The sequence below is a fragment of the Homo sapiens genome, chromosome 1, assembly GCF_000001405.40.
Source record: "Homo sapiens chromosome 1, GRCh38.p14 Primary Assembly".
NCBI classification, from domain to species: Eukaryota; Metazoa; Chordata; class Mammalia; order Primates; family Hominidae; genus Homo; species Homo sapiens.
In genome coordinates this window covers 175527605-175547023 of record NC_000001.11, presented here as the reverse complement: position 1 = coordinate 175547023, position 19419 = coordinate 175527605, and the positions used below count along the sequence as shown (strand labels likewise).

The 19419-nt window shown below is 43.1% G+C and overlaps 1 protein-coding gene across 2 annotated transcripts in view; it reads left to right on the top strand.

Moving 5' to 3' along the window:
• Positions 1 to 19419, top strand: part of TNR (tenascin R) — a 428402-nt gene that overhangs the window by 196572 nt on the left and 212411 nt on the right. For both annotated transcript variants that reach the window (NM_001328635.2, NM_003285.3), the window contains exon 2: positions 18655 to 18755. The gene's annotated coding sequence lies outside the window, so the exon portion shown is untranslated. The remainder of the gene's footprint in view (positions 1 to 18654; positions 18756 to 19419) is intronic.

Genomic DNA, 19419 nt, shown 5'->3' with positions numbered 1-19419 from the left:
CTGTACAAAGTACTATACAAAGTGCAAAGGAAAGAAGGAAGGGGGAAAGTGACTGGCACTTTGCAGAGCAGTGCCCATTGTTACTGGCCTCCAGTTCCTTATCTGGGAAAAAATTGACTCTGGTCAACTTGAGGTGAGCCTGTGCCCACTTGCCCACCTCCATGACCCTTGTTTTACTCAGCTCACTGCCAATCTTGGGAAATTCACCTGCTTCCCTTGCCCGCATATCTTTATTTACAATGGAAAGAAGTCTTCAGACTTCTGAAGAGGCCAGAGGAATCCTCTCCAGTTCAGAGCATCCTCTGAACACTGAGCTGACATGGGGTGATCTGACAACTCACACCATGTCCCACAGACTCGATAGTGATGAAAGGCCACTCACACTTTGAAATGCCTCCTGAAAGGCACGCCACTCTTGGGTACTTGGTTATGTGATATCGTTTTAGATTTCTCCAGCTTTGAGCGCTGAAAAGCAACTCTGCCCTCGTGGCCTCCCTGCCTTTAGTCCAGGTTGGAGGGAAGTTCCACATCCCATTAGCCGTGTCCTGATCCTCACAAAGAAACAGTGGACAGAAGACATCTTTAAGATGTGAGATGGCCGGCAATTCTGCTTCTTGCTTGATGGCCGCTACACCAGCAGATTCTGTCACTCTGTAGCCTATTTTTCCTTAGCTGTTCATATACACCCCACTTAACCTCACCCCCATGTTAAAGCAGCCTCTTTATGTCCAAGTTGCCCATTACCCTGGGTAACTCATTTCAGAAACAGCCGGGTCTTCTTCCATGTGCCCTTGCTCTGATGCAGTGCTGGGCACATCATGAGCACAAGTGCACCACAAAAATGAGCTTGGCTTCCTCCTCTGTTCCTGTCCTTTGATTCTTCTGCCGTCCCTTGTAATCTAATTTTTCGCCTCTTCATTTATTTCTTCTCACATTCCAACTCCAGTCTGGCTGAAAGGGGCTGAGGGGAGGCTGTGAACAAACCAACTTGGTACCCCAAATGGAAGCCTCAGTGTTCTTCACATTCCAATTCCACTCTCCAGGAAGCCAGAACTTTCTCCTTTGGAGGCACACTCTTTATACTTCCCTGCCACATCCCTCATCTGTAATGCATATAGCCCATCTCTGGCATATCCTCTTCCCAGGCCATGCTTATAGCTCAAAATCTTTCTGTACCTCTGTGAGAGGCAACCTGGCATGGTAGTGAAGGACCCGCTCTCTGAAGCTGGATGGCCTCCGTTTGCTACTTATTAGCTGTGTGAATCGGAATAAGTTAATCAAAATCCCTATGCCTTCTTTTATTCATCTGTTTGATGGGAATCATAGCTACAGTACCTACTTCATAGAGTTGCTTTGAAGATCAAATAAATTAATACATGCAAGGCAATCAAAGCAGTGCCAGACACTTAGTGAGCACTATGTGTTTGCTATCATTATTTTTAATATTAAGAGGGAATCAGAGGTCCAAATGTTTTCAGGCATATAGCCTCAGTGCACTTTCAGTCTCTCCATTTCCACCAAATCTCCCTCCTCAGTCTGTGGTTTCAAATCTCTTCTAAACTGAATAGTTTTATTCATGCTCTATTTCCATCTTAAGCTGTTTCTCTCTATATATTTCTTTCTTTTCACAGTCAACATCATTAAATAAGTAATCTACACTGATAATCTCCACCCACTCACCTCCCATTCATGCCTCAATCCATAGCAATCTGGCTTCAGCTTTTGCCACACCACTAAAACTGTTCCCACTAAGATCACCATTAACCTACCTATTGAGACACCTAATTACCTCTCTGTCACTTTTGACCCTATTGAACACTCACTTGTTCTCAAAATGTTTTCTTTTCTGAGGCATTATTCTTTTTTTGGTTGTAGCAGTCAGCTTTTGTTAGGTTACATTCAAGTAATAATCCCCAAATCTCAGTGGCTTACGACAATAAATGTTTTCCTTTATGCTCAAATTTTACATCAGCTGAGGGTTAGATATAGCTCTGCTCCACATACCGTCTGCATTTAGGGATCCAGGATGAAGGAATAGGTGATCTTATGGCAGAAAAAAAGGGCTAACACTGACCCATACAGAGAGATTCCTAAAACTTCTGCTTGGGTATAGTGTCTATCACCTTTGCTCACATTCTATTGGCCAAAGCCAGCCACATGGCCCAAGCCTGATATCAAAAGACTTGCAGCAAGCAGGGACATAAAGTCATCTCCCAAGAAAAACAGCCAATGATAGGGAAAAAATAATACCACACTGGTTCTCCTTCTACCTTTCCAATAGCTCCTTGATCGCTTCCTTCACCAGGTTGTCATGTTCAACCCACTTCCTAAATATCAGTGTCCTCAAGAGCTTCTTGCTTTGCATCCATTCTTTGAGTACTCATATCCAATGCCCTTAACACCAATTAGCACCAATATACCTATGTTCTTATGACTTCCAAAATCTCTAGCACAGACCCTCGCTGAACATATTTAGCAGTGCCCTTGAATTTAATATGTCCAAAATTCAACTCATTTTCTTATCTTCCTATTCCCTTATTCTCCTTCCTGGTTAATAATGTTTTTAACCCAAATGTTTAAATCAGAAACCTGAGAAGGCTTAATTGTTCCTCCCTGCCCCTATCCCGTCCAGTGAGTCAACTATAATTCATTCTACCTTTGAAAGAAGTCTCTACTCTCTTCCCTACTCTTTACTTACTCTGCTATTGCCTGAGTTTGGGCTCTCACTATCCTTTGCTTGAATTTTAGCCATCAGTTATTCTCTAACTGGCCTGCATGCTTCAGTCACTCTTCCCTAGAGACCATTTCTGCATTGCAGCAAGCAATATCTCCCATCTCCCCCAAAATCTGATCTTGCCTCTTCGTTGCTTAAGACCTTCAAAGGCTCTCCCACATACCTGAAGTAAAATTCAGGCTCCCTGGTGTGGCATTCAAGGTTTTTCATAACCAAACCTTGCTTGTCTTTGCACACCCATTCCTGCTGCTGTCTGTCTTGCACCCTCTGCCCTGGCTGTTTGGGACTTCTTATTGGTAGCTAAATGCCCCATGAGGTTTCTCATTTCTGTGTATTTACTCACACTATTCTCTCTGCCCAAATGCTCTTTTTTTTTCTCTGTGACTTCCTGTTGATCCTTCAAGACCTAGTCTGGGCACCTTTCAGTAAAAGGTGAAAGATTAATATGATCTGAAGAGAAACCAGAGTATAGTCTGGGCATCTTTCATAAAACTTACCCCAAACTTGCCCATTCCCCTTGCCCCTACTTCACAATAGGTAACATTAACCTTTTTAATAACATTAATCACATGATGTTATTGCTCACATGTCTTTCTCTTCTTATATAAATTACGAGTTTCCCAGAACAGGAACTGAGTCATTATCATCTTTGAAATTGCCCAGGAGCTAACACAGTACATACACATTAGATACTCAATGTATGCATATTAAAGGAAGGGATAAATAAATGAATGATGTACTCCAGTTTGTGTTCCATTAGCTCAGTGGTCAGGTTTTTCTACTTGTCAGTTTTACTCTCTGGCTGCTCTCTGGCTCTGGCTGCTCTCTGGCTCTAGGTCCCCTTCCTATGCTGGAGGACTAACTTCTTGTCTTCATATTAAAAGTACTCTCTCTGAAGCCCTGACAGCCTGAATCTGACAGTGCTAGCTTCACAGGATTCCTTAGCAAATCTCCCTTTTCTAGAACCTGTCTCTCCCATTAAATGGCTCCTCTGCAGCTGCATTCTCTGCTCTCTAGCTTTCCTGAATGACCCCCCACAGGCCAGCTCAGTCACTCTTTTCTGCTCCCCCCTGGGAGTTCTCTAAACTGGACTACCCTATTACCCTTTCTGCCCCATTTTGTTTTTTCTCACTGTTTCGTTTCCTCTAGTAGCTGTCTGAACCAGCTACTAACTTTGCAGGGCCCGGTGCAAAATGACAATTTGGGGCCGTGTGTTCAAACGTTATTTATAATTTCAAAATGGCAACAGCAAAGCAGTAAACCAAGCACAAGGCCCTTCTGAGCACTGTGACTGCATGGTTGTGTCTCATGCCCATGAATCTGGCCCTGAGCTCTGTCTGACAGTTCCAAACAGTAGCTACATTCAGAAGGTCAAACTAGAAATATATCAATGCTTCAGGAAAATGAGTTAGCAAGGGTGAAGAGAGGGGACCCTACATGTGGGCAAAAGCGTTGGAAAGAATTTAGTGGAATAAGTTTTAGTTGAAAAAAGAGAGTTTAAAAAATTATATGTGTGTGTATATGTATGATTAATATATATGATTATTTGATAAGTAAAGACTTTGGACCAATGCCATGTAGAAGTGGTTTTAGTGAGAATAAGTTGTCTCATCAAAAGCATTTTTAATTATGAAAAAATTGCTTGTCAATGTTTGCATCTAATCAGGAGATGTAGAGTGATTACGTTAATTCCATTGCTTGGAGGTGTGGGTGGGAAATGCCTTTATCCTCTATTAGGGCTCTGTCAGATGGCAAAAGAACAAGCAATAGGATAAGCAGTGTTGGAGAACTCACTCATTTGTTCATTCATTTATTTAACTAAACACTTAGACAGGACTCATTGTATGCCAGTCACTCAGATTAGAAGGTTTCCTCATAGCAGGGGCAGCTACATGATGAGACATGGGGACTGGCCACAGGAACCCGAGGTGGGCTAAATGCCTCCAAGCATGCAGCACCCCCCTTCCAAACTTCCTGTGGATTTACACTAAATAAAGCTTACACTTACAAATAAAATACCAGAGAGGAGGGGTATAGTATTTTTGAGGAGAGACAGAGCTGAGAGAGGGAGGGCCTGCATTCGGGTTGGAAGAATTCTTTTATTTCTTTTGGTCTTTCTCTTTTCCCTTCCTTCAACCTAACAATTAATGCAAATGAGGAAGGTTCGTAGTTCCCAGATTTGCCCCAAACCCAGTGGCATGCCAAGCTGAGCACCACACTGCTGTCCGTTGTCACAGTCTTACCCTAGTGCCAGGAGGTTCTTCTGATGGCTTGCATTGGTAGAGCGTCTTTGGTTTACATTATCTCATTTTGATCCCCATAACAGCTTTGTCTGGAAAGTTTAAGCTTAAACCATATGAACTTGCCATCTCGGTAGGACAAATGTGGTCAAACGTTGGCAATTTCATATGGTTCAGACTAACACTGGTGGTGATATTAACCCCATTTTTTCAGTAGCAAAAAATGGAAGCTTAGAGAGACTTTACCAGTTTCATAGAGCCAGGGGTGGGGTTGAACCCTAAGCAGAACTCCAACTCAAATACATGCTTTTCTCCACACCTGGCATCCCCCTTGGTGTAAATTGTAAATCAACCTCATGCAGCAACATATACACAGGTTGGGAGTTTCATGTTAATATGCTTTAACTGTCTTTTTTTTTCAGCCCCAGATTCAGTAATGGTTCTCTGCACAAACTCATTCATTTTTAATCAGTTGACTATAATGATTTGTTACAAATGATCTTTAATTCTCAGCTGTGGTTAATCAGTACTGAAAGGCACTTTTCCTGTTATTTTATTTGGATAGGACTCTTAGTGAAATACTTGCCTGCCATTACTTAATCACTTGTTTGTTTTCCCTCTGCACACAGTTTCTAGCAGCATACAGCAGTATTTAATGTGAACATTTTCCCTTTACAGAGCGAATTGAGTTTTCCAAGCCATAGGGGCAGGGAGCTGCCATGGGGAGCCCTAAGCCTTCCTGCTTTAGTTTAATACTTATTGACCCTCTCCTGCAGGCCAAGCTAAAGCTGGGTGCTGAGGATATGCTGATTTATACATGGCAACTGCAACACAACTTGGAAAATGTTATTGCGAGAGTTTATGGTACAAGGAGGGGAGGTGGAGGGAATGGCATCTAACCCATCCCTGGAATGTCAGGACGTCTTCTCGGAGGAGGTGAATTCTGGAGAATAAATAGTAACCAGGCTGGTGTTTCTATGCAGATGAAACAGCAGATGCAAATGTCCAGGGTGAGCAAGCCTGGGGATAGGGAATATGTATGCAGTCAAGCATGGTTAGAGTACAGAGAGGAGGCAGGGGAGGGTGGGCATTGAGAAAGGAGGTTGGGGAAATAAGTGGGGTCAGGTTGTAATGGGCCTTGGGCACACCTTAAACCTTGAGAGGTTTAAGAAGAAATAACTTACATGGATTTGCTTTAGAAAAAATCCTCTAGGAGTAGCATGGAGAATGGATTAGAAGCGGGCTGAGAGTGGAAGTAGGAAACCCAGTGAGGAGAAAGGAGGTAGAGGCGGTGAACCAGTCCGGAGATAACAAGGGCTGAGAGAAGTGGCTACCTCTGGGGAAGGGGAGAGTGGATGGATTTGAAGTGAATGCTGGGTGGGGCAGAAAGGATGGTAAAGGAAAAAAAGTGCCAAAGTCAAGTGTCTAGCTGTACTCTTTCAAAGATGAGCTGGGGTACTTGTCTGCTCCCAAAGAAACCAAACCATCTAGCTGTAGGCCAGGGCTATCTGTAGCTGAGACTGGGCTGTCACAGCAACAGAGCTGAGAGCTAGGCCCTTTCCTTAGCCATAAGAATTACATCACTGTGTAATTCTTACAGTGATCCTGACCAATGAAAGGAAATTGAAAACCTTTCCCTTCTCCTCACCATCCCCAAGTTCTGATAAATCTGGCCCTCCTGGGAGTCTGGCATCACCATTCAAAGATTTGAGTCAAACCCTGGAGCTGAAGGATTCTCTGGGAGTGTGATCAGTGGTGCTCAGCTGCAGGGAAAGGTGAATCTCTGCCTGAGATTTCTTCCACAGCTTCTGAATGCAGGGTCACATGGAGCCTCTGTTATCAGGATGACACTTGTTAGTGGGATCAGAGGAAGGACTTGTTGATGAGGGAATTGCCATGGTAATAATGTGGTTTGACTACAAAAGCAAAAACAGAAAACCAAAACAGTGCCAGTTCCCTCCCCACTCTACATCTGAGACTGATTTGTTAGTCAGTGCCTCTTTTGCCATCCTTTCTGGAAAAGCACAGAAAGTGTGAGGGAGATTCAACTTGTCTTCTTTATCTCTATTCTTGGTGGTCTTACAATTTCTCCTCTCTCCTTTTGATGTCTTCCATGGCAGTCCTTAAGTCCCTCTTCTCTCTGGGTGTCCCAGACCAATAACTTATGAGACTAGTTTATGCTATAGTGTGAGCTACTTATGATTTGGTTTAAAATGCAAATATCTCTGGGAAGGGCAAATCATAACATAAAGGTATAAACCTAATGGTAGTTGTAGGAGTTTTAGAAACAGAGATTTGGAGGGTTTTGCGAAGACCTTCCAATCACACTGCATGAGCAACAGCCTGGCCTCAGGATATGCCTTCTTGATTCTGGCACATTCCCGGAAGGAACTATGAGGTTTCTTCAGAAAGTCAATGAGGCAAATGGGAGAGGGTCTGTGTTTCCCTTCAACTTCATCCTGAGGATATGGATCCTAGGTCATGAGACCTTCCAGAGCCAGCAGGTCTCAGTGCAACTGTTTTTCTCTGCCTGAGATAATCTTTCCGATTTCTGAAACTTGACACTTCCGTCTTCATCTGATTCCTCTCCCCTGGGAAGGGGAGCCTTCCCAGATTCCACACATGGGTTTCCAGGAAGTTTGTTTACACCTCCATTAAATCTTTGATGCAAAACCATGTGGACATGTCTCCAGGTGTACATGACTGTGTCTTCTTCATGGGCTGTGAGCTTCTTTCTCAAGAGCAGTAGCCATTTTCTATTATTGTCTTTGCCTCCAGCAATTTTTAGCTCTTGCTGATAATAAGTGATCAGTAATTTACTGTTTGTTTCTTTTTTCTTTTCCTTTTCTTTTCCTGGGGAACTGTGTAAACAGTTGACTGCACTGTGAAAAGCTGAGTGTGATTTTATTTGGGAGCATGCCTCTGGTGTTTTTCAAGGCTATATTTTCATATTCATCAGGCCCTCACCGACTGGGGAGACCAGAATGAAAAAGTCATTATGTGTGTCTTCAAGGATCTCACAATATCAGTTCAAACATAAATGTAAGAGGGTGAAAGTGTTGAAAGCATGGTTTTCTCTTCCCCCATGAGGATGGCCTTGTCCTGAAAATCCACCACTTGGGAATTGGCCAGCTCTGACTAGGTTGAGATCTCAGGGTCTGAGGAGGCTGTCAAGCCTCTGCCTCAAGTTCTTGAGCATAATCCCAACATCTGGGACATTAGCAACCTTCCTGTATGCCAAGAAAGTAGCTGGATTAGCCAGAGTCTGTCTTGACTGCCTCCTCCCTCCCACCCTGGGAATATTTGGAAATGTGTATGTGGAGGGGTATCGTTGGTAGTCAAAATGCTGTCAGAAGGCATACCAACACAGCATGGATGGAGGCCAGAGGTGGAAGTCCACCTCCAGCACCCTGGACAGTCTCATCCAAAGAGGAATCAACTCACCCCACATGGTAATCATGCACTCTAAAACATAAGGCTACACAACAACCTTGGATCATACCAGGACCCCAAGAAGTCAAGGTTTTAGATAGAATTTTAATTTTTGAAGACCCAGTTGCTGCCTAAAGAAAATATATTTTCATTTTCCAAGGCCTACTTTGTATTAACCCACAATCAACACTCCTCCACGTTGGATTAATCTCTTATACTTCCATATTTGGGAACGAACTGTAAGGAAAATATCTTCAACCTTTTTTTTCTCAGGAAACTTTCTGACCTGAACACAGGTTCTGCTAAGTTGAGACTCTACTCAAACCATTGTAGCCGAAAAGACAGTGGCCTTGTAGTCACACTGTAGCTGGCCACTCTCTGCTTTGATCTTGTACCTCCCCTTCCCATTTTCCACAGGTTGTCATCTGCACAGAGCAACTGTGAACACCCTAGCCATGGTCACAGCCCAATGGACCCCTTGTGTCTTGTTCTGGCCTGGTTTCCGACATCTTGGCCTGCTCCTATATGCACTAAGCTCTTAAGCTCCAGCTTTACCTCCCATATTTTGCCCTTGCTCAGGTTTCTTAAATACTCTACTTCTCCACATTGTGACCTTGGAGAGTTTCACCCAAAAAAGAATTATCCCACTCAAAATGGCAATCATGTCTCCACTGGATTTGCACTTGACTCTTAGTGGGATCCACTTCCTGTTTGACTGGAACCGCCCCCCACCACCAGTTCTGCACCATTACCCAACCAGTTCACAGTCCCAGAAGCAGGCCCTGGCTCACACAGATGCCTGGCTTGGCCCCTGACGAGGGAGAGGGACTTAGGTGCTATCTGTGCCATCTGCTCGGAGAATCCTCTGTTCTCTGCTCTCAGGTTGACTGATGGGGATACAGAAGGGTTTTGGCTCACAGCCCAACCTAACCCAGAGTCCTTCATCAAATGCCTGGAAAGTCAAGCTTTTATCATTCTAGCAACTCATCCCCTCTTAAATGCAGATCCGGGGGAGATGATGATATCAAGCAAATTAAAATTGAACTTGTTCTGAGATGACAGAGATTCCTGGGCCAGTCAGGTCAGTCCCTCAAGTCAGATCCTTTGGTGGGAACTGGCTACCTTGAAGGATGGCCTGAGAGCCACCATTAGGAAAAAATGTACTCAGGCTCTGCTCCTGAAGGTCACAACTTTGCCAGCCAAGCACTGAGTAAGCAATTACCTGCCCTACAAGAGCCATTTAAAGGAGAGAAGAAATATTCCCCTAGGTCCACACCCGGGCAAGGAAGGGCTTTATATCAGGTGAAGAGAGGACCAGAACTCTCCTTCATTCTGAAGCTTTCTCTTTCATTTTTGGCCTCATTTTTGGCTCTTTCACTGAGGAGAGCACATGTCTTAAGACAGGAAATTACCCTGGTGATTGATGGCTAGCAAATGCAATTAGGACCCATTAAGTGCTCTCCAAGGGGTGCCCTTCCAATGTGGCATTCCAGGTTTGGTGATCACTTAACGATCGTGCACCAAAGCCTCCTGGTAATGAAACATTTGTCTCTGTCAAGCTTTGGCCACCCGAACTTCCTGCTTCCTTTAGATGCAGAGAGGCTGTGGGCAAAAAAGTGGGAATGGAAGGTGGAGTGGGGAAGAGACAGAGTGGAGGCTAGGGAGCACTCCCAGTTTGAAGGAAGGCTCATCCCAAGAAGAATGGGCCCACTTGGCCAAGAAGGACATTCCCAATATGGGGCCCAAACATGAATTGGGGGTTAGTGGGTGCCTTCAATGACTGAATTTCTATAATATTTGCTAATTATCCTAGTGCTCAGAGAAGTAGAATTCCTTAATTCCACTTCCTTTGGTGCCTGGAAGAGATGACCAAAAACCTCAGCCCAGACTCTGCTGCCCTAGAGTTATTTGTATTCTAGCTGAGAAGGTCAAAAACACTGCCCTCAAACTTCCAGGCATCAGTGGATAACCCGGCCTCACACAAACACATGAAGGAGTACATTAAACATTGACTCATCTGTGGTGCTACCAGAAGGAAGGACAAAGGAGGCCATCTGGATCCTGTCTGCCTGAGCTCTCATTTCAGCTCTGCCACTTGGAAGTTCAGTGACCTTGAGCAAGTTACACAATCACTTTGTGTCTCAGTTTCCTGACTGTAAAATGGGGATAATGATGGAACTTTCCTTCTTAACTCTTTGTGAGGATTCTGCAGGTCAGTGCCCAGGACACCCAGGCCCTAGCCATGGCAATGTCCACAGATGCCAGTCATTTCTTCCTCCCAAGGCCAGGGTTCTGACCCTTTTTAATGGCTTGGTCCATAAAAAATATGGATCATGCCATAAAAAAGGCATGGTTGAAAAAATTCAACCAGCCTAGTGAAGCACACGAATCCTTCTCAAAATAATGGTATAAATGTATAAAATAAAATATATAAGATTACAAAGGAAACTGCATTTTTTATTGAAATATTGCTATCAAAATATTAAAAAACAGATTTGTGGTATAGTAATATATGTGTTTCTTTATTAACACAGTAAATAACAAGATCTGCTGGCAGGTCTAATAACTAGTGTGATTCTGAAGTTAGTAATAAGCTTAAACAATATTTCAACATATCTGCAACAACTGTAATGAGATATAAAAATATCTGTGATTTCTATTGGTGAAAAATTATAGTTTCTGCTGATACTACTGTGACTTGCTGCCTACATTTAAAATTAGAGGAGCTGCTAAATTTTAGCTAGAGGTTGATGAAATTAAAGATGCAGTTTTTTCCGTATAAGTTCATGGACCCTCTGTGAACCCCAGGATAAGAACCACTGCCATAAAGCTTGATGAAATAATGCTTTCTAAACTCCATCCTTTCTAAAATTTTAAAATATTTATTTTCTCATTACCAAAGCCAAATATAAACATTATACCAAAGTTAAGAAATACAGCTAACACAGTGAGACCCCGTCTCTACTAAAAATACCAAAAAAAAAAAAAAATTAGCCGGGCATGTTGGCGAGTGCCTATAGTCCCAGCTACTTGGGAGGCTGAGGCAGGAGAATAGCGTGAACCCGGGAGGCAGAGCTTGCAGTGAGCCGAGATCGCGCCACTGCACTCCAGCCTGGGCGACAGAGCGAGACTCCGTCTCAAAACAACAACAACAACAACAACAACAACAAAAAATAAATAAATAAATAAAAAAGAAATACAGATAAAGCAGAAAAAGACAAAGATTTAAACACACCATCCAGAGAGAGCCACTGTTAACATTTGGTATAGTAGTTTAACTGTTGAGACGTGGAGCTCGTTGCTAATCTATTTTTCATGCACTGAATCTGCTGCAGGTAGGATTATTCGATTGTAACTTCTTCACTTGGAGGGACATTGAGGAACAGGGAATGCTGATCAGGGACTTCAGCAAGGAGCCAACTCTAAGCACCACAAATATAGGCCAGAAACTACATGCAGCCCCCTTTCTGGAAAAGGGCTTCTGCCCTTCTCAGCATGGCCCCTGTATTAGCCCATTCTCACTTTGCTATGAATAAATACCCAAGACTGGGTAATTTAAAAGGAAAGAGGTTTAATTGACTCACAGTTCCACAGATCAGGAAACTTACAATCATGGTGGAAGGGGAAGGAAACATGTCCTTCTTCACATGGTGGCAAGAGAGAAAAGTATCAAGCAAAGGGGGAAAAGCCCCTTATAAAACCATCAAATCTCCTGAGAACTCACTCACTATCATGAGAACAGCAGCCATGGAGGAAACTGCCCCCATGAATCAATTATCTCCACCTGGTAGTGTCCTTGACATGTGGGGATTCTTACAATTCATGGTGAGATTTGGGTGGGGACACAGAGCCAAACCATATCAGCCACTATAGGCAGGGCAAGCCAGTCTTTGCCTTAGCAGCCCAGAAGCCAAGCCAGAATCCTGCAGCCCCTCTAGTACCAGCTGTCCCACAGATCTCAAATCTCTTGTTAGACCTGATGAATGTCTTGTCTGAATCCTGAATTATGAATAATGGAAATTGCTCACTAGATAAAGGATACCAACTGACACCACTTAGAACCTGCCAGATACCGGGGTCAGAGCCCTGATGCACTTGGGCAGTGTGTGAGGACTCATTCAAATAATCCATTCAGAAATCAGGAGAATGAGGTAGCACTAAATCTAGGAGGTGTGATACAATCTGCACAAACACACACCTGTGTGTGGATAGTGACACTGTGCAGCTCTCTCTGAGGTGAGAAGGTAGTCTGACATATGTTCAGCTGTCCCAAGGAAACTCTAGAAGACTGAAGGCTTAGAATGGCTTGTCTAGTCATTGTCAAGCAACTTCTGTGGAGGGTCCACCCCATGTGAATTCAGGACACAAGGGAGGCAGGCCCCAGCTTGCTTTCCTCAACATCCCTCAGGACACCCAACCCTGTGAGTCCTCCAGGCATGGCCAGCCTCAGCCAGGATGGTCCATTGCTCTTGTGTGAGCATGAGGTTGTTGAGCCACCAACATAAGTTAGGGATTTGCTGCACCTCCTGGATGCAACTTCTAAAAGACTGAGGCCAATATCATTATGGCAACATTTAAAAAGCTCCTCTCTTCTCTTCTTCAGTTCAGACCTTAAAGCAATGTCTTCTGACCTCCAAACCAAGACCTTCCCTGGGAGGAGGAGCGGGGTGTTAATAAAATGCTGCTGGTACAGTCATCAAAATGTGACTGTGTGCTTTTCTGGAGGGACCCTGCAACCCCATGGTAGCACACCAAGCTTCCTCTATGCCTAGTTAAAGATCACCAACAAAGCTCCTGCATGCAAGGCACCACTCAATTTCAAAATATTTTTAATAAAACAATGTGGAAAGGGCAGCCTGTTCATTTTGATCCTCCACTGGGTCATTCAATTAAACCTGAGATTCTGGGAAAACTTGAACTCCCTGATCATATTTTCCATTAGTAATAATAATAAAAGATAATTATGGACTCTGTCTGTCAGATATTCCAGACACCAGCACCTCCACTTAATTAACTGCTAATTAAGATATGAAAGAACTTCAGCGTCTCTCACACATCCTGACTTTATTAAGCCTCAGCAAATCTTCCTCAGGAAATGAGAAACCTAAATAGCCAAGGCTGAGCCCTTCCCTGGATTTACAAAACAGGGTGGTGTCGGGTGAGTGGGGAGGAAGGCTGACTTTGAGGACTAGCCATTTAACTACAGCATTCAGTTGTTACACCATGACCCTGAGAGGAAAGAATGTGGGAGAAGGGAAAGGAACTAAGAAGTTTCGAGTTCCTTCCTTCTGCTGCACACTGAGCTGCGACTTTTACATATATTACCTAAGTAAATTCTCTTAGCAACCCCGTAAAGAAATATTATTATTCCCATCTTACAGATTAGAAAATAAGTGCTTAGAGGGATTCAGTAAATTCCTTTCCAAGTCTGTGGCTGGTAGGAGCTAGGATTTGAGCCAAATGTTACACTTTTCATTTGTAGTTCCAGGTAGGTACAAGAAAGAGAAATGTCTTTTTCCTTGTCTTTACCATTATTGACAAAGCAAAAGCGCAAAGCATTTGTGGCAACTAGCCTTCAAGATGACCCCCAGTTGATCCTTGCTTTGTGGCATTCATACCCTTCTGCAGCTTTTTCCCTCATTAAATGGGGCTAACCTGCATACCAATAGAATCTTGCAGAAATGATGGTGAGCTTAGTCTTATAAGACACTGTGGCTTCCACCGTGCACTTTCTCAGATTGTTCACTCTCGGGGAAGCTAGCCACCAAGTTGTAAGGACACTCAAGCACCCTTGTAGAAGCCCACATGGGGAGAAGCTGAGGCCTCCTGCAATGACCAATATCACACAAACGAGCCATCTTGGAAGCAGATCCTCTATTCCTACCAGGTTGAAGACTGCAACCTTCAACATCTTGACTGAAACCTCGTGAGAGACCCTGAGCCAGAACCACTCAGATAAACTGCTTCTGAATTCCTGACCCACAGAAATTATGAGATAATAAATGTTTATTATTTTCAACCACTGAGTTTTAGGGTAATTTGTTATGCATCAGTAGATAAATGGAGAATTCATGAACTTCTTACACTCTGCTGAATTGCAAAGCCTTGCCAATACCAGTGGGTCAGAGAAATCCCTCTAAGAAACATTCACATTTGTATGCCTGAAAGTAGGAGTCTGAAATAACAGCCATTCAAGATCCCTCCTGGTAGGAAGCCTTGTTTATTTAGAAGCAGAATATGGGTCAGATCACCAACAGTTGCCTAAATTTCCCATTTTCACATTAAGATGACTAAGAACAACTTGAAGGTTGTTCACAATCTGATCCATTGTTCAGCAACCAACTGCTGTGAGAATTGAGAACAAAATAAATTGACCATACTTTGGGGTATTGGGCAATCTTGTCTATAGCTGATCAGCATCCTTGGGATCAAATATCCATTACTGGAACATCTCCAGCAATTTGCAGTACATCAACCAAAACCTTTCAAGCAACAAGGTTTATACTGGATGTCAAAAAGAACTGTTACTGTGAAGTCTGAAATCTCTGCAGTTTTTGATTGTTGGATCTCACCTGGCCCAGCAGGTGTCTTTCTTCTAAAGTCCATGACTCACCTAAGCCAAAGAGGACAAAAACACAAAGCCCTGGAGAAAAATCTGTGATTGAGGTCAACAGAGTCTCTTGGGCTGCACTTTTTGGACTGTCCAGATCCTCAGCTCTTGCCTAGGCAGTCAGGGGCAGGGAGCCCATGCTACAAAGTCCAAGCCAATCCCCTCTGATGGCTGAACTCACCTGTGTTACAGAGGGGTCAGCACTTGATGAGGAAGGAAAATATAATGCACATTTTCTAGACATATTTCATAGGATGTTTTTTCCAAAGATGAGCTGTTGCAAGTTGACCCCAGATAATGCAGAGCACTGGAAAGGGTACATACAGGTAAATGAGTAGGTTGCAGCGTGGACAGAAAGAACACACCCATTTACTGAAGCTGCTGGAGAGTCAGGTCAGCATGCTCTTTACTTTTGTGTATGTCTCTTGGGGTGCCACTTCCCCTCTCCCTCGGGTCCCTCTGAAACTGTGTAAGCTAAAAGGATTTGGGACCATGAGCCCTGTACCCCATATTTGTCTAAGCCAGTGGTTTTGCCTCTAGAACTTGCTGCTGCAGGAATATATGACTACCTTGAGACACATCAGCTTCAAGAATGGCTGTGATAATAATCCTTTGCCTTGTCACCAGTTATATGAATCTATCTTAAGATAAGGCCTTTGTGTGATATCATTAGGGCTGTAGGACTTGTTCATCAAATTAAGTGGATCTACTAGTGAGGTAATGCGTGTTTATATCACAAGGGCCAGTATATGGGGTTCACGATGAGCTTCATTCTATCAGAACAAGTGTGGTAATGACTTCAGGAAGATTGGCACACACACTCCACTTCAGTTTGGCAGTTGCTCAGCCAACAGTTGGAAACCCGTTTAAATAAATAAAACTGGTTAAGTGGAAAAGAGGATAGGACTGGAATACAGAAACCCCACATTCTAATTCTATTCCTCTAAATCACTTTGGAGGTGCATGCCCTGACAAGTTCCCATGTCCCTCTCCCTCAAAGACAGGAGCTTCTTGCAGGTGGTGGCTGTATCCTCTTCTTCATATTCCTGGTGCCTGGCATGGGCCTGGGTACTCACAAGGCTCTCAGTAAATGGTTGCTGCCAATGACTAAAAAAGTAAATAAGTGCACATATCCACATTCACATATGTATATATGTGGTTAAATGAGCGTGAAAGGAAGTCTAAAAGGATGTACTCCATGCTGCCAACACAGGGGCCGAGGTAATGTGGATAGTTCAGGGAAGAAGAGGAGGTAGAGAGAGGCAAGCAATGGAGAAAAAAAAAAGAGAGTGCACTAAAAATTCTACATGTATAGTATAATCTTGTAAAAGTATGTGTATGTATGCATAAACAAATTAGAGGAAAAATGATGATGTTTGTATGTTAAGTCAAAGCAAGTTGCAGAGTATTTCAGTTAAAAACTATAAACAAAAACATCCCATATATCTGTTATATATGCATAATTAGGTTTAAATGAGCAAAAGGGAGGGTGTATATTTGGGTGCTTTGAGACACCACCCAACTGAGGCACTCAATTTTGCAGCTGCTGGGAGCGTTGGCTGCTGACAGCTCACAGCTGAGTCCCTTTTCAGGAATCACCACCAGCCAAAAAGAGCTGCTTTGCCCATCCTCTCCCTGGGGGCAGCCCAGAGCCAAAGAGAGGCGGGTGTGTGTGGGGCCCTAAGACCTGGATCCTTTTTCAATGCAGGACACCTCCAACGTTCCCTCTGGCCAGTTCCACTTCCTGTACTTCCCCCAGGTGCCGTAGCCCTCAGGAGTAAGTCTCAGTAAGCCTTCTGTGTGCATATCCAGTCTCAAGCTGTTTCCTGGGAATTATGACAGTGTGGAAGGATACTTACCAGTGTATTAAAATGTTACTTAAGGAACCGAGATTGGGAGAAACGATTAGCGTCTTCTGCATACATTTTTATATTGACTTTTTTATTATAATAAGCATGTGTCACTTTTATAATTTTAGGAATATCAAATGAAGAACTTTAAAATGTAATAAACATGTTAGTTGAATGAGTGAATAACTGTGCCTACATCTAGTTGGAGAAATAGGTAACAATAAAATAGCATGTCAAAAGTACCCGGTGTTTTTAATAAACTCAAGTGAAGGGGATTTTCATAATTTTTTTCATGACTTTTGATGCAGTTGGTTCAAAAGATATTGGACAAGCTTTCTGAGAGTGAGGTTAGCACCTCACAGGTGAGGATGAGGAAAAGAAAGGTCAGTGGGTGGAAGCAAACAGGAGGGGGAGTTGTAATTCCATGGAAGAAGAGATTTTCTAGTCTCAGAGCTATCTGCCCCCCAAATAGGCTGCAATCTGTGGGCAGCTACCATCTAAATTACACTGTCCAAAGAACCTGCGATTCTTCCATTTGGTGAGCAGCCAGATTAGAATTGGAAGAGAAAAATACCTGGCATTTATATCACCTGCAACACCTCCCAGTCCTGGGCCCTGGCAAACCCATTGATGACCAGTTCTTTCCCTGTGATGCCACCTCAGAATTATTGTCCCCACTCGCCAGGCAGCCACAGTGGATGCACTGGAGTATTCACTCAAGATGGAAAATGTTTGCCCTTCCAGAACTAAATAATCTTTACACTTCTTCCAATTCTGAGGGTTTCATGAGGTCCTCCAGGGAAGGTTAATTTATTCACAGATGTCTTAGATGAGCAAGCCTCTACCTCAGCCAAATGCTTGCTTCTTCCTCTCTCAGATGTCGCCTGATTTTTGCAAATCCATCCTCTTGAAGCACCTATAAATGATATCCCTGGGGCTCAGTGTCCCATTTGGAGAAGGCTTAGCAGGGTTTGTGAGAAGCAAGCCCTTGAAGGCATAATTATCGAGCCACCAACTGTGTTGACACTTCCTTGGAAATTGTGTAGCGGAGGCCTGGCTGAAGATCTGCGTAGGACCCCTGGTTACAGAAGCTGACAAATTTGCTTACTCAGAAGGCTCTCACTTAACAATCGATGCCACTGCTTCTGTTGGAGGTTGTTCTAATCTGGGAGAATTACTTTGTTTTGCATGCATTTATTCCTTCTTTGTTGAACTTTTATGCACTGGCATTGTGCTTGGGACAGGAACTAAAGCAGTGAGAAAGTTGAAGACTCTGACCCTGAAGAGTTGGGAGTCCAGAGTGAGCATGGCACAAATAAAGAGGTTTATAGTACATGGAGATTTTCACAACATAGGAATGCTTAGAGTGCCAAGGACATTAAGGACATAAGAGGGGGTCAGGTTGGGGAGGAGGTTTGTATGGGAGGCCTTTTGGAGGGAGTGTCAAGCATTTGTCATAATCAGATCAGCTAAGCATGTTATTACAGTCACTTTCAAAAACCTAAAGCACATTTCTGGATTTATAATCATTCCATAGATTTGTTTACCTCAAATATTTTCCTTTTTATTGAAAACTATGAGAATGAATGAAAGAAAATCAATGAAATAAATGAAAGTCTCTGGAGAGAAAAAGCAACTAAGCAACAATTTTCTTTGCTTTGGAAATTCACATGGTGCACCTACAAATTTATTTTAAAGGCGATGTGGTACTTAGAATAGAAAGGGAAACCAGGGTTTCTTATTTTGAAACCATTAATATATTTCTTCCCTCCCTTATTTCTGTTTCAGGTGGCTGTATCGTTTTAACTGCATAGAGGGCAGGTCTCTTTTGGAATTAGGATTAAAGAAAGTGCAGTAAAGAGAAAGCATCGAAGACACCATCACAAAAGGTATTTCCTGTGAACATTTGATCATTCATCATTCCCATGGCCAGTCTGTGGCTTTCATATGTAACTGCATATTCCCAGGGATCTGAGACCTTTTGTTACTGGAACAACACCCTGGGGGCTAGTCTCCTTGAAATGAGGTGGTCAACAGCATTAGCTCCTCTGGGCTTCATGCAGTCTCTGAAAAAGCTGGAGAAACCGGGTACCAAGGCTTTGGCTTCTCATAAAATATTTCTGAATGCATTTCATGATGCGGTTGGTAATGAAAGTGTGTTACTGTGCTCAGTCCCTCCAAGAAGCTAGACTTGACTCCCAGCCTGCCTGTGCCTGCACTGGGCCCGCATGAATCAGTGATAAATTATTCACCAGTCTCGCTCTAAAATTTCTGGAGTTCCAAAACCCCTAATAAAGTATTATGAAAAAATATCCATCTCTTTATCTCTATCCATAACTATATGGCTGGAGGAAAAACCTGTCATTTTATTTCCTTTAATTTAAAAGCTTTCCTAATTCCTTTTTCATACCACATATATATGTCTAAAGAATTTTCAGGTTGAAATAATAACCTCTAAAAAATGGTCCACAGGAGAAGGCTCTTAGGATTCATAGAGTTGTCAGGCACAGTGAATATTTTGCTCCTTTAATAACTTTCCATGGCACTCAAACT